General features: G+C 40.1%; 1 protein-coding gene across 65 annotated transcripts in view; it reads left to right on the plus strand.

Annotated features, from left to right (window-relative positions):
- LTBP1 (latent transforming growth factor beta binding protein 1) overlaps positions 1-12,729 on the plus strand; it is a 452,557-nt gene that overhangs the window by 229,360 nt on the left and 210,468 nt on the right. For all 65 annotated transcript variants that reach the window (XM_011532853.3, XM_011532857.3, XM_011532861.3 and 62 more), the window contains 2 exons: positions 10,544-10,768; positions 12,265-12,539. In XM_011532853.3, coding sequence (XP_011531155.1) covers positions 10,544-10,768; positions 12,265-12,539 — 500 coding nt within the window. The remainder of the gene's footprint in view (positions 1-10,543; positions 10,769-12,264; positions 12,540-12,729) is intronic.

The following is a 12,729-nucleotide window of genomic DNA, read 5'->3' on the forward strand; positions in this document are numbered from 1 at the left end:
GCCTCCCGGTTCATGCCATTCTCCTGCCTCAGCCTTCTGAGTAGCTGGGACTACAGGCGCCCGCCACCACGCCCGGCTAATTTTTTGTATTTTTAGTAGATACGGGGTTTCACCATGTTGGCCAGGATGGTCTCGATCTCCTGACTTCGTCATCTGCCTGCCTCAGCCTCCCAAAGTGCTGAGATTACAGTCGTGAGCCACCATGCCTGGCTGACAACATGTTAATTTAATATATTAATATAGTGCTATTGACGTTATTGATTGACATATTCTTTTTGGAAATTCATCTGTTGATATACTCAGAAATTCAACAGCCCAGCACTAGATTCTAGAGAAAGTGGTGAACGAAATAATCTACAGTATAGTGCACGACCTGACCAGCTTCCCAAGATGTGGAGATGGCAGGCATGAGCAGGCTTGAGCCACTGTGCTTAACCATCCCAAAGCTGTTATGTATGCTTTGGGATGGTTAATTTTCAAGTCATAGTGATTTCGACACCTTGCACATCCCTTTTGTTGCTGATATGCTGGTTTGCTTTCCCTTTTATATGTTCTTCTCATTGCGCCCTGCCATCATAATTACGAAGTTGATGAGGATGGCTAACGTTTGCTGAGTGCCTGCTATGTGCTGAGTTCTGTGTACTGTGAATATATGAATTCATTCAGGTCACACAACAGCCATATGAGCTGGATACAATTATTTTTCTCATTTTACAGGTGAAGAAGTGGGGTAGAAAAACATTAAATAACTTACCCAATGTCCTGCCAGTAAGAAATAATTTAGTTGGGATTCAAACTCCTGGAGGTCTGATTCCAGGCTGTTGCTCTTAATGTCTATGCTCTGTATTCTCCCCATGGTGAGACAGTTACATTAGTGTAATCGACTCATGTTATATTTTCTTGTTCGCTATATCTCCTAGCACATTGCCTTGCATACTAAGCAATTTGTAAATGTTAACTGAATGCATGAGAAAATAATTACTAAGAATAAAACTTTGTGCTTGTGGAGGATATTCTTTGGAGCTTTATCTCTAATAGTTAAAAAATGCAGACAAGGCTGAGCGTGGTGGCTCACACCTGTAATCCCAGCACTTTGCAGGGCTGAAGTGGGCAGATCACTTAAGGTCAGGAGTTCAAGACCAGCCTGGCCAACATGGTGAAACCCTGTTTAGTACATAATTTTTGTATGTACTAAAAATACAAAAATTAGCCAGGAGTGGTGGTGGGTGCCTGTAATCTCAGCTACTTGGGATGCTGAGGCAGGAGAATGGCTTGAACTTGGGAGATGGACATTGCGGTGAGCCGAGATCACACCACTACATTCCAGCCTGGGTGACAGAGTGAGACCTTGTCTCAAAGAAAGAAACAAAGAAAGAAATGCAGACAAGCTAAGCACAGTAGAGGAATGGCTATATAATTTACCATCTGCCAATGGAATATTATATAGCTACTAAAATCAATCATTAAGGCTCTGTAGCAATACATGGTGCATACCTGTATGAAGGCTGTGTAGTAAGAAAAGAATGCAAATGTAAACTGTAGTGGTTAAACTGTAATCTGAACACTCATCTAGGCTTTACAAATTTGTGGGCATAGATAATGTAATGATCAAATCACATTACGCTAGCCAAAAGCCCTTGCTTGCTTACCTGCACCCCTCTGTACCCCCTGCAAGTGTTTCTGATGATCCCCAAGGGCTGCTCCCCAGCCTGCTGAATTACAGGGATGGAAAGGAACCTGTGGATTGTGTCCCTCAGCCACCTCATTTTTGCAGATGGAGACACTGTAGTCTACATAGTGATTTTGAAGTCTTTTAAGATTGTTGCCGAAGGAGGCCTCAATCTCAAGGTGTTTGGTGTTTCTGCAGCCAACAAATGTTGCTGCGTTTTTCCTAAGGGGGACAGAGCCTTGAGGTTTAGGAATCATTAGGAGAGAGCGACAATGACAGCATCTGTGATGAAGAATGTGAAGTGGAATTTTATGACATGCCTAATATATGGAGCTCCTTAGGTTATGCAAGGTATAAAACTAGATCAAAATAGATAGCGCACAGCAATGGCGAGGTTGATGATAAATGAACAGGAAGCTATAAACAAAGTTGAGATGATGAATGGCCTCATCTCATCTGGTGTGTGTGATAGCGCTTCGTATCTCCTGGGTTATAAACAGAACATGTTATTGAAGCATTTACTAATGCCCACCAGCATTAAAAATTTGTGGTATTTTTGGAATTGTTGTTTGCATTGAGGTTGATCTTTTCTACTTGTTGAAATCTGCATTTACTTTAACATTAGCTTGATATACCTGGTATTTGATAGGTGGCGATGGAATGAAAATGGTCTTATTAATTTTCAAAGCAGGTAACAAAAAGAGTAATGTCCTATTTGCTTGAATGAACTAAACCAATGGTTAAAATAGTCTTTAAAGTCAGTGATGCTTGAATGGTATCTCACCACCATGTTGGTTTGTTGATGATAATAGTCTTGGTAGATCCTGTGGAGGAACTTCCTTGTAATGATGTCTGTCCACCCCCAACATTTTTGTAGGTATTAATTAGTATGTTTCTACATCTTCTGGCATGCTTTATTTTCCTTTTTTCTTTTTCTTCTTTAGAGATGGGGTCTCACTGTGTTGCCAAAGCTGGTCTCAAACTCCTGGCTTCAAGTGATCCTCCCACCTTGGCCTCCTACAGTGCTGGGATTTCGGGCATGAGCCACCATGCCTGGCCCCCAGCATGCTTTTATTTGCTGTTTTTAAAAAGTCACCTCTTTGTCTAGAGCAAGCTTGTCCAACCCCAGCCCATGGGGTGCATGTGGCTCAGGATGGCTTTGAATGCGGCCCAACACAAATTTGCAAACTTTTTTAAAACATGAGATCTTTCTGTGATTTTTTTTAAAGCTCATCAGCTATCATAAGTGTTAGTGTATTTAATGTGTGACTCATGACAGTTCTTCTTCCAGTGTAGCTCAGGGAAGCCAAAAGATTGGAAACCCCTCATCTAGAGTTTAAAACTAATGGTTACTATGAATATTCGTGAAGTCTTTTAGTTCTTGTGATATATAAAATAGAAAACACCTTCATTATAAAAGAATGAAACGATAATGTATTTTTACATCTGATGTCAAATAAATGCATATATTCTTAAAAAAAAAACCAAAGAGATGCTCACTGATGGGGAGTGTTGGGTGCATCTTTAACTTTTTTAAAGCATTTTCTCTTTGGAACTCTGTTGTGTCTTTTGCATGTACTATGGAGAATACTAGTCTCTTCTCTCATATGTAAAAGAAAATCCCTGTACCTTCATAATGATTATATATTTAGTGAGTTTTAAGTTAAAACTTTTAGAAATTTAATTAGAATCTGGCTAATGGGTTATTTAAAAATGTAAAATAAGGTTTAAAAACCCAAAGCCAAGTGTCCAGTGCACATTGAAAGCGTATCCAATAGAAGATCCTGTAGCTATCCTTGTTTTTCCCCGGTTCTGTGTCCTGTGATTCAGATCTGCCTGGGTCCTAAGTTTTAATCTATCATTTATATTCTTTGTGTTTAACTCTGTCTACTTTTACAGACTGCCTTATATCCTTATGGAAATGAACAGGAATCGGGCCTGTGTCTGTATCTGAAACCCAGCTTGTCTCCCTTTCTCCCTGCCTCTTACACTCCAGCCACATCAGCTCCCTCTCAGTTTTGGAGCCTTTCTAAAACACCTCACCTCAAGGTCTTCACTCATGTTATTTGTTCTTCTGTAAACACTCTTCTGCCAACTTTTCATCTTGCTGTATTCTTCCCCCTTTAGGTTCAGCTTAAATCTCACTTCCTTGGACAGGTTGTTCTGGATCACCCTAACTCTGGTTTTTTGATGGAGTCCGAGTCAGTATAAGTTAACAGACAGATAATCAAGAATTGAAGATAGGCAGTTTTAGAACACAACAACTGTAAATCTCCACATTCCATAGGGACAAAACCAGTCCACATTCTTCTTTCTTGGTCATGTGTAGGACTAGGCCTTCCTGGTTCCTCTGTTCTAGCTTTAGAAGAAGGTAACTGTCTTCTTGGAGTCCAGCCTTTCTTTTTTCCCCTTGGTGATGCATACCGAATGAAAAGGCAAGCATATAGGTTTGGTTTTGTGTAGCGTGGCATAGTTTTTTTTTTTTTTTTTGACAGGGTCTCACTCTGTCACTGAGGCTGGAGTGCGGTGGTGCAATCTCAGCTCAGTGCAACCCCTGCCTCCCGCGTTCAAGTGATTCTCATGTCTCAGCCTCCCAAGTAGCTGGGACTACAGGTACATGCCACCATGTCTGGCTAATTTTTGGGATGTTTTAAAGTAGAGACGGGGGTATGCCTTGTTGACCAGGCTGGTCTTGAACTCCTGGCCTTAAGTGATCTGCCTGCCTGGGCCTCCCAAAGTGCTGGGATTACAGGTGTGAGTCACCGTGCCCAGCCTAAGTAGCATAGGTTCTTAAAGTGAGCAATGGTTTGCTGTAGCATGTAATTATTATATAACATATTTGTTATCCTAAAGCAGAATGGGGGGAGAAATAATGTGGTAACTTAACTTTCTAAAAATATTGCTACCCATCACCAACCAGCCCTGCAAGGGATATCAACAAAAATGCTGAAGGCCTTTAAGGGAATATTATTCTAATCAGAGACAAGTGGGAAAGTCAAATCAAAATCATGTGTGTGTCTGTTCTGCAAAAGGACAGATACGGGTTTTCCTTCAGATGGAGGTTTGTTTTCCCTGCTCTGCCTTTGCCACGATAACTTGAAATGGTCTGTCTGCTGGCACAGAAAGCCAGGGAGCGGGTGGAGTGGCCAGGACCCTGCTGCAGGAAGGTCAAGAACATTCTTAGAGTGCCTTTTGGGAACCAGCAGCCGAAGTATTTTTATAGTCAGCTAAGATAACAGGAAAGAAAGAGGCAGGGTCTGCCTTTTTATGGTATAAATTTTTAGAAAATTCAGTTTGCCCGCATTTATATACAAGTCATGAATATTTGTTCATCTAAACAAGGTTCCAATTCGTGGCACAGAATGTGAATATTATTCTGTCAGCCCAATTACTTGAGTACTGCAAGTTGTTTTACAGACCAAAGTGAATGGTGGAATACAACTGAAACGCCTGACTTATTTAAAACCTCCAGCTTGTTGTTCTTCCAGCATGGATCCTTTTGCTCATTTTGACCTTTTACAGTTGTACCGTGAGATACTTTGAGTGACCGTCACAAAATTACACTTTCTGGAGTAACAGGCTGAAGGCCTACCTCTTGTTAATTGCAGTAGTTCCCAGGTGACTCTCTGATGCAATATAGTGAATTATGGTGATGACCAGCAAAGTATCAAGCTAACAAGGTTATGGAATGTCTCAGCCAGCATTCTGCAGTTCACCTTCCTGTAATATTTTCTAAAATATATGCCCCATGGCTAGCCTTGTAACCAGCGTACCACAAGCATCTCAAGTCAACCTTAACAATAACGTACTCTTTTCCTCTTGATGTTCTGAGGTTTTATAGAACTTGGGAAGCACAGATGATACATCACTAGATGATGTTTTGAGAGTGGCATGAACTTTTGAAACAGAAGGAAACTATTCATAGTTGAATCCTAAAGTTTGTAGGTGTATTTTCAATTTGTTTCTGTGATGTAACTGACTATTAGGTATAAAAAGACTGCCTGCCACAAAGGGTTCAATACATACTTATTGAGCTGAGACAAAGAGCTTTATATTGTCATTTAGATTTTAGAAATGCTAGAACTGGAGAATAGATATTTTATTTATTATTCATAAAGGGTTATAAATACTGGACTTTTATTGGTTGAAATAAGTCAAGCAGAAACCATTTCCTTTATAACCAGAGAGACACAGGGTTGTTGGAGTTTAGGGATTATTGCTGTATCCACGTATGCTGGTATAGTCCTTGAAACAACTGTGTGGAGGTTATCTCAGGGGGTTAGAGGTAGATTTAAATGAAACTAAGTTCATGATAGAGTTCAAAGTCTACTGCTGATATTGGGAATACCTTGTAAAAGTCAATTGGTTACTGTTTCTTTGTTTAAAAAAAGGTGGTGTTGGCCGGGCGCAGTGGCTCACACCTGTAATCTCAGCACTTTGGGAGGCCGAGGTGGGCGGATGATGAAGTCAGGAGATCGAAACCATCCTGGCTAACACGGTGAAACCCCATCTCTACTAAAAATACAAAAAATTAGCCAGGTGTGGTGGCAGGTGCCTGTAGTCCCAGCTACTCGGAAGGCTGAGGCAGGAGAATGGCACGAACCCAGGAGGCGGAGCTTGCAGTGAGCCGAGATGGCGCCACTGCACTCCAGCCTGGGTGACAGAGTGAGACCCTGTCTCAAAAAAAAAAAGAAGAAAAGATGGTGATATATATATATACACACACACACACACACACACACACACACACACACAGACATATATATGTATGTATGTGTACACATACACACACATTGTATTCTAGTATAGATTGATTATAGGGAGCCCTCACTTTGCATCTTAAAAATCAATTTAAAAATGATGAGTTCTATGACCTTAAGAAATTTTTGCCAAAGCATTAAAAATGTTTTAGTGTAGGTTATTAATATATAGGGAAATGAAAAAAATAGTACAGCTAATATTTATTTAGTACTTGATAATTTAAAATGTTAGAAACATTGAGAGTTAAATGTTTCATTTCTTTGAGTAAAACTTGGGAATAATTTCAACATGTTTGCTTTTCATTGTATAACTGATGATATAGAGTATTTCTTTTCTTTTGTGTACTGTCGTACTCCTTTTTGAGTTTGTACAAAACGTTGGAAGCTGATCCAAAGTTGTGAAATACCTGAGAGTTACTTTAATGTTAATTCCTTTGGGAATCTTCATCCTGTTCATTACAGCCACCTTCCAATTTCACTTCCAGTGTTGTCACTTTGTATTTCTTTGCTATACTTTCTTTTTTGTTGGCTCATACTGTCTTTCGATTATCCACTTTTGTAAAATGTCCTGTGATTTTTATCCCTCTGAGATGAGGAGATGGCAGAACTACCTGCTTTGCTGTTTGTTCCTGAACTGAATACCAGATGTGCAGGGACCAATCACCGACAGGCTTTCAGAGAAGTGACATGATTGGTCATTGGTCGTGATACACATCTGTTATTCACATCATGATTTGCGAACCAAAGAGCTAGCAGTGAAGTTTGTATTTGATGCAGTTACTCAGTTAATATACCTTGGTAAGTGAAGTCTGAACCACGTTGTCGGGGGACTGGTATTATTTAACAAAACTACGGTAACGGAAATTCATGCGTATTGGAACCATACCAAGTGAGGAGTGCCTGTATTCCAGTTATAAATTCTTTGTAGTACATTTAAAGCTGGGCCTAGCTCCCTTTGCTTTACCCATTACACACTGAGCCTGTCCAGTGTAGCCAAACTGTGGTGCAGAAAATCAAATCAGAGTTGAACTGAGAGTTTCAAAGTCATTGATTCAACCTTGGAGTCAGCTTTGACTTTCTCTTTTCTTACCCAAGACCTCACAGAGTAGTTTGGGCACTAATGAAGGTATTTTTCAGACCCCATCCAGCATGGGGAGTTTTGACTTGATCTGCAGCCTACGCCCTGAAGAAAGTTTCTGGGTTGTCACCTTTGTAATTTTTCCAACTCTCTCCTCCCTCCTCCACTTTCTCCCCTCTTCCTTGGCCTGCTCTTTTCCTCCTGTGTCCCATCATCAAGTTCCACTGATTTTCCCTCCAGCCTTACGTTACTGCATGTTTCTTTCAGTTCCTGTTGCCATCATCCTAATTATATGTTTTTCAACTTGAATTTCAATTGCTATAATAGTTTCCTCACTGACTTTCCCACTCTACTCTCTCTCCTTTCCAGCTAATCCCGCATGCCATCACTGGAGTAATCTTCCTGGAACACTCTTGCAGCTTTACTTAATCCTCTGCTTGAAGCCTCCAAAATAACTTACTGATAACAGAATAAAACCCAAAGCCCTTATCAAGCCTGTAATAACTTTCTTTGTCTAACACAAGCCTCCTTCTTCGAATTTATCACCTGATCTCTTCCCTTCCCTCTAGAACCTGAGGTTTCAGCAACATAGGTTTACTCATTATCTCCCAAATATGCCCACCACCTCTCCTTTCTATGCATTGTCTTCCTAAAATGCACTTTCTGATGTTGTCTGAATCTTGACCAGTTTCAAAAACTTATCCTAAATGATCTCTGCTGTGAAGTCTATTTTAACTTCCTAGAAATGTCTTTTCTCCTCTGCAGTTCCAAAGGATTTATATTTCATACTTTCCAGTTACCGCTTATTTGCTGATCTGTGTTTTTAGTTATGTGTTATTTAATTTCTCCATTTAGCTTTTAAGTCCTAGATGGGCAGGGACTGAATCTTCTATACCATGAGGAATGGCATTTGACAGAGTGATAGGTATAAATCTGTCCCTTCCCTCATTCAGTATTTTCTGTTTTTTTTTTTTTTTTTAGCATTTCTTCTAGACATTGGGCTATGTGCTAGCAGTAAAACATAACAAGGTAACTTCCTGACCTCACAGAGCTCTGGTTGAGTGAGGCATACAGAGAAGTAGTCAGTCAGTTGTAATGCCATAAGATGCATGGAATGATGGATAGTGAATCAGATTTGTGGCAGCAAGAAGGTAAGTGTCAAGCCTAGATGAGGGGCAATGGGAATGCTTCTAGAAGTGAGGTTCAGGCAGAGTCTGAAAGATATGTAGGAATCAGGTAGTTGACGGAGGCCAGATGGAAAGAATGTTCCAGGCAGAGGACTCAGTGTGGATAAAGCTCTGGAAGGGTGAGAGCACACTGAGGAACTGAATTAAGTTCCATGTAGCTGTATTGTAGAGAATGAGGTAAGATTGCTAAGTGTGATGAGATTGCAGAGGATCCCTGTAATGGGCAAAAAGTTGACATCTTTGGTGAATGTTCAGGAGGGAGGACTTCCAGGACCAGATGTTTGAGTAGATAAAATGAGGGGGCAGCACCCAGGTGTTTCTTAAAGATCGCTTGGTGGATGGAGGTATTGGAGGGAAGACGATGAGTTCAATTTTGAATTTGAGGTGCCTATGAAATATGTATATGGTGACACATAGTTGTAGACAATTTGAAGCTCGGAAGAAAGCTTTGACCAGAAAATAAAAATTTGGGTGACATCAGTGTATGATAGGATGAAATCATAGAGAAAGAGTGTGTAGAGTCAGTGAAGAAGACTTCAAGACCAAACCTTAACACACATCAGTATATAAAGAACAAGTAAAGAGAGCAGAGTCTGCAAAGAATGTTAAGATGGATCAGGCAGGAGGAAGGAGCAAAATAGGTGAGTGAGGTGTCATGGAAACCAAGGGAAGACTGAAATCCATCCATTGGGTTTAGAAATGTGGAAACCATTCATGACCCTAGCAAGAATAGTTTCTGTGTAGAGGAGGGGCAGGGAATGGGAAAACATAAACCGGCCCAAGATAGATTGTAGCGCATTGAGAAGTCAACAAACAATTATGGTGGAAAGTTTAGTTATGGAGGAGACGATTTAAAGAGGGTAGAAGCTGGAAGGAAATGGAGCTGAGGGGCTTTTATTATAATATTCTTCAAGCTGCTGGAAATCTGTGATGTTTAAAGGCTGATAGGAAGAATTCATTAGTGATAAAGAGGTTGACCATAAGCTAAAATAGCCAGAGTTATAACTCCTCTTAAAATTCTTTGCCCAGTCTGTCCTGTTACCTTTCAGTATTCTAAATAAGTTAATTCCAAACTAATTTTGGACTTCACTGAGATCTTGTTACACAAGATTGCAAATTCCTATAAAGTATGATTCAAACTATTCTACTTATTTGTTCTGGGTAGCATTTAGTGTCTTAAATAGAGAAAATTTTCAACAAATATTATTTTTATTACTGATTTGTTTCTTTATTTTTTGAGCAAATATATTTAATTTTTAATTTTTGTGAGTACATAGTAGGTATATATATTTATGGGGTACAGGAGATGTTTTGATACAGGCATGCAATGCGTAATCACATCATGGAGAATGAGGTGAGCAAATACTTATTTAATCTCCATTGTATGCCAGACATTTTTCTAGGTGCCAAGGATGTTAAGGTTACCAGGCCATACACACTACCAGGCCATACATACCCCTTGTTCTCGAGGAGTTTATCATCTAGGGAGTCAGTTAATGAAATAATTATGGATTGCAAATGGTACTTAAAATGGCATGGTGGTAGACAATCATCTTGAGTGGCTACTGTATATACACACTCTTTTCCTATGAACTTTTCTTTCCATTGTTGGAGGGAGAATAATTACAAGCTATTAAAGAGTTAAATGACTTAAGATGGAAAGAAAAAGGTAGTCAGTAACGGAGACTACTTTTGGCATAGCGAGTTTACTCCTCTGTTTACCATTTCTAAAGGTCATGGGACTCTGATGCCTATAATGGGCTGTATGTTTTGCAGGTTTTGTTGGTTGATCATTACTTAGCCTCTGAGAGACTAACCAACTCTCCATGTTTTCTCTTTTCCCTTTTAGTAATTTGCCATCTTCCATGTATGAATGGTGGCCAGTGCAGTTCAAGGGACAAATGTCAGTGCCCTCCAAATTTCACAGGAAAACTTTGTCAGATCCCAGTCCATGGTGCCAGCGTGCCTAAACTTTATCAGCATTCCCAGCAGCCAGGCAAGGCGTTGGGGACGCATGTCATCCATTCAACACATACCTTGCCTCTGACCGTGACTAGCCAGCAAGGAGTCAAAGGTAAGCTTTTTTCATTCCGCCCATTTGCCAGACCTCTGTTAACCTGCCAAACCCACATAGAAGTCAAGGATCTGCGGGTGGCCAGGGCTGGTATTGAAACAGAAAGGAGTACATGATTTGTGGCCTGAGAAATGGCAGTAGAGACAGAATGTGGGCCCAGGTATGTAGCTGCAGTACTTTCTAGGCCATAGAGAGTTAGTGTCTAGGAAATAAGAAAATAAAAAGGAGCCCATTCTTCTCTAGTGATTCTTTACCACCAAGAGCTAATAAATGTGCATGGTACTGTTCTGACAAGGCCTGGGAAATAGAAAGATGAGCAAGACAGTGTTCTGGCCCTTACAGCATTAATAAGCTAGTGGATCGCACAGTACCTGCTGGTGAACTTCACAATTGAAGAATGCTTGGTTTTAGTTGTAAACAATCATTTAACCTCACTGGACTTCAATTTGTTCGTCTGTAGAGGAAAGTAAACTAGGTCACTTGGAGCTCAAAAATTCTATGACGAATTCATCCTTTTAAACCTGGCATTTTTATAAATGCACACTTTTAAAAAGGGAATCATAGAAGTTTACTGGCTCTAATTCTTTAAAACCTGAGTCCTTGCATCAGGAGATGAGATTTTGTTTGAAAGCTACGGAAAGTAGCTTGTTATAGATATAAAATAATGCACTTTGGTATTTTGTGTGTGTGTATGTCACAAGAAGCACAAAAATAACAGGTACTGTATTATTTAAGGGTAAGAGAATTGTGCCTTGTAAAACTGGGTTTTCTCTTTTAATAGAAACATGTAAATCCTACAATTTTTATGACAGAAATTTTATGAGAAATTCAAAAATAATCAAATGCTTGATCTTTCTGATTAACATTTGATAAAATTTACCTGCTTAGAACAAGCAGCATGAATTTCACAGCTTTATGACTTTGGAAAAGAATATTTTAGTCTCATGAATGTATTACTGTTAAAAGTTTTAATTTCTCTCTATAATTGCAAATTTTAAAAACATATAAATTCAGGCTTAATTTTTATTTTGCCTGTGCCCTTAAGAATTGTGATGGCTGGCTGGGCACGGTGGCTCACGCCTGTAATCCCAGCACTTTGGGAGGCCAAGGCAGGCGGATCACCTGAGGTCAAGAGTTCAAGACCAGCCTGGCCAACGTGGTGAAACCCCGTCTCTACTAAAAATACAAAAATTAGCCAGGCATGGTGGTGGGCACCTGTAATCCCAGGTACTCGGGAGGCTGAGGCAGGAGAATCGCTTGAACCTGGGATGCAGAGGTTGAGGTTGCAATGAGCTGAGATCGAGCCATTGCACATCAGCCTGGGTGACCAGAGCGAAACTCCATCTCAAAAAAAAAAAAAAAAAGAATTTTGATGGCTATGCAGCAAAATGCTACACATGCATGCATGTTTATAAAATTTACTTTCATGTTTTAAAACTTTTGATTTGCCTGTTAGTTATTCAGGACTAACAAGTTTTCCTCCCAATCTGTTGTAGTGAAATTTCCTCCTAACATAGTCAATATCCATGTGAAACATCCTCCTGAAGCTTCCGTCCAGATACATCAGGTTTCAAGAATTGATGGCCCAACAGGCCAGAAGACAAAAGAAGCTCAACCAGGCCAATCCCAAGTCTCGTACCAAGGGCTTCCTGTCCAGAAGACCCAGACCATACATTCCACATACTCCCACCAGCAGGTCATTCCTCACGTCTACCCCGTGGCTGCTAAGACACAGCTTGGCCGGTGCTTCCAGGAAACCATTGGGTCACAGGTAAACATCATCACCGAGCCTGCTTTAGCAGTGTCTTACAGATATGGTATCATTTTAACAAGAAAGCCAGACTTGATAAAAATGCTTTTTTAAAAAAAAGGCTTTGACAAACTATGACTTGTGGCCATATTTTTGTAAATAAAGTTTTATTGCCACACTCATAGCCACACTTATTCATTTACATACTGTC

The sequence above is a fragment of the Homo sapiens genome, chromosome 2, assembly GCF_000001405.40.
Source record: "Homo sapiens chromosome 2, GRCh38.p14 Primary Assembly".
Taxonomy (NCBI): domain Eukaryota; kingdom Metazoa; phylum Chordata; class Mammalia; order Primates; family Hominidae; genus Homo; species Homo sapiens.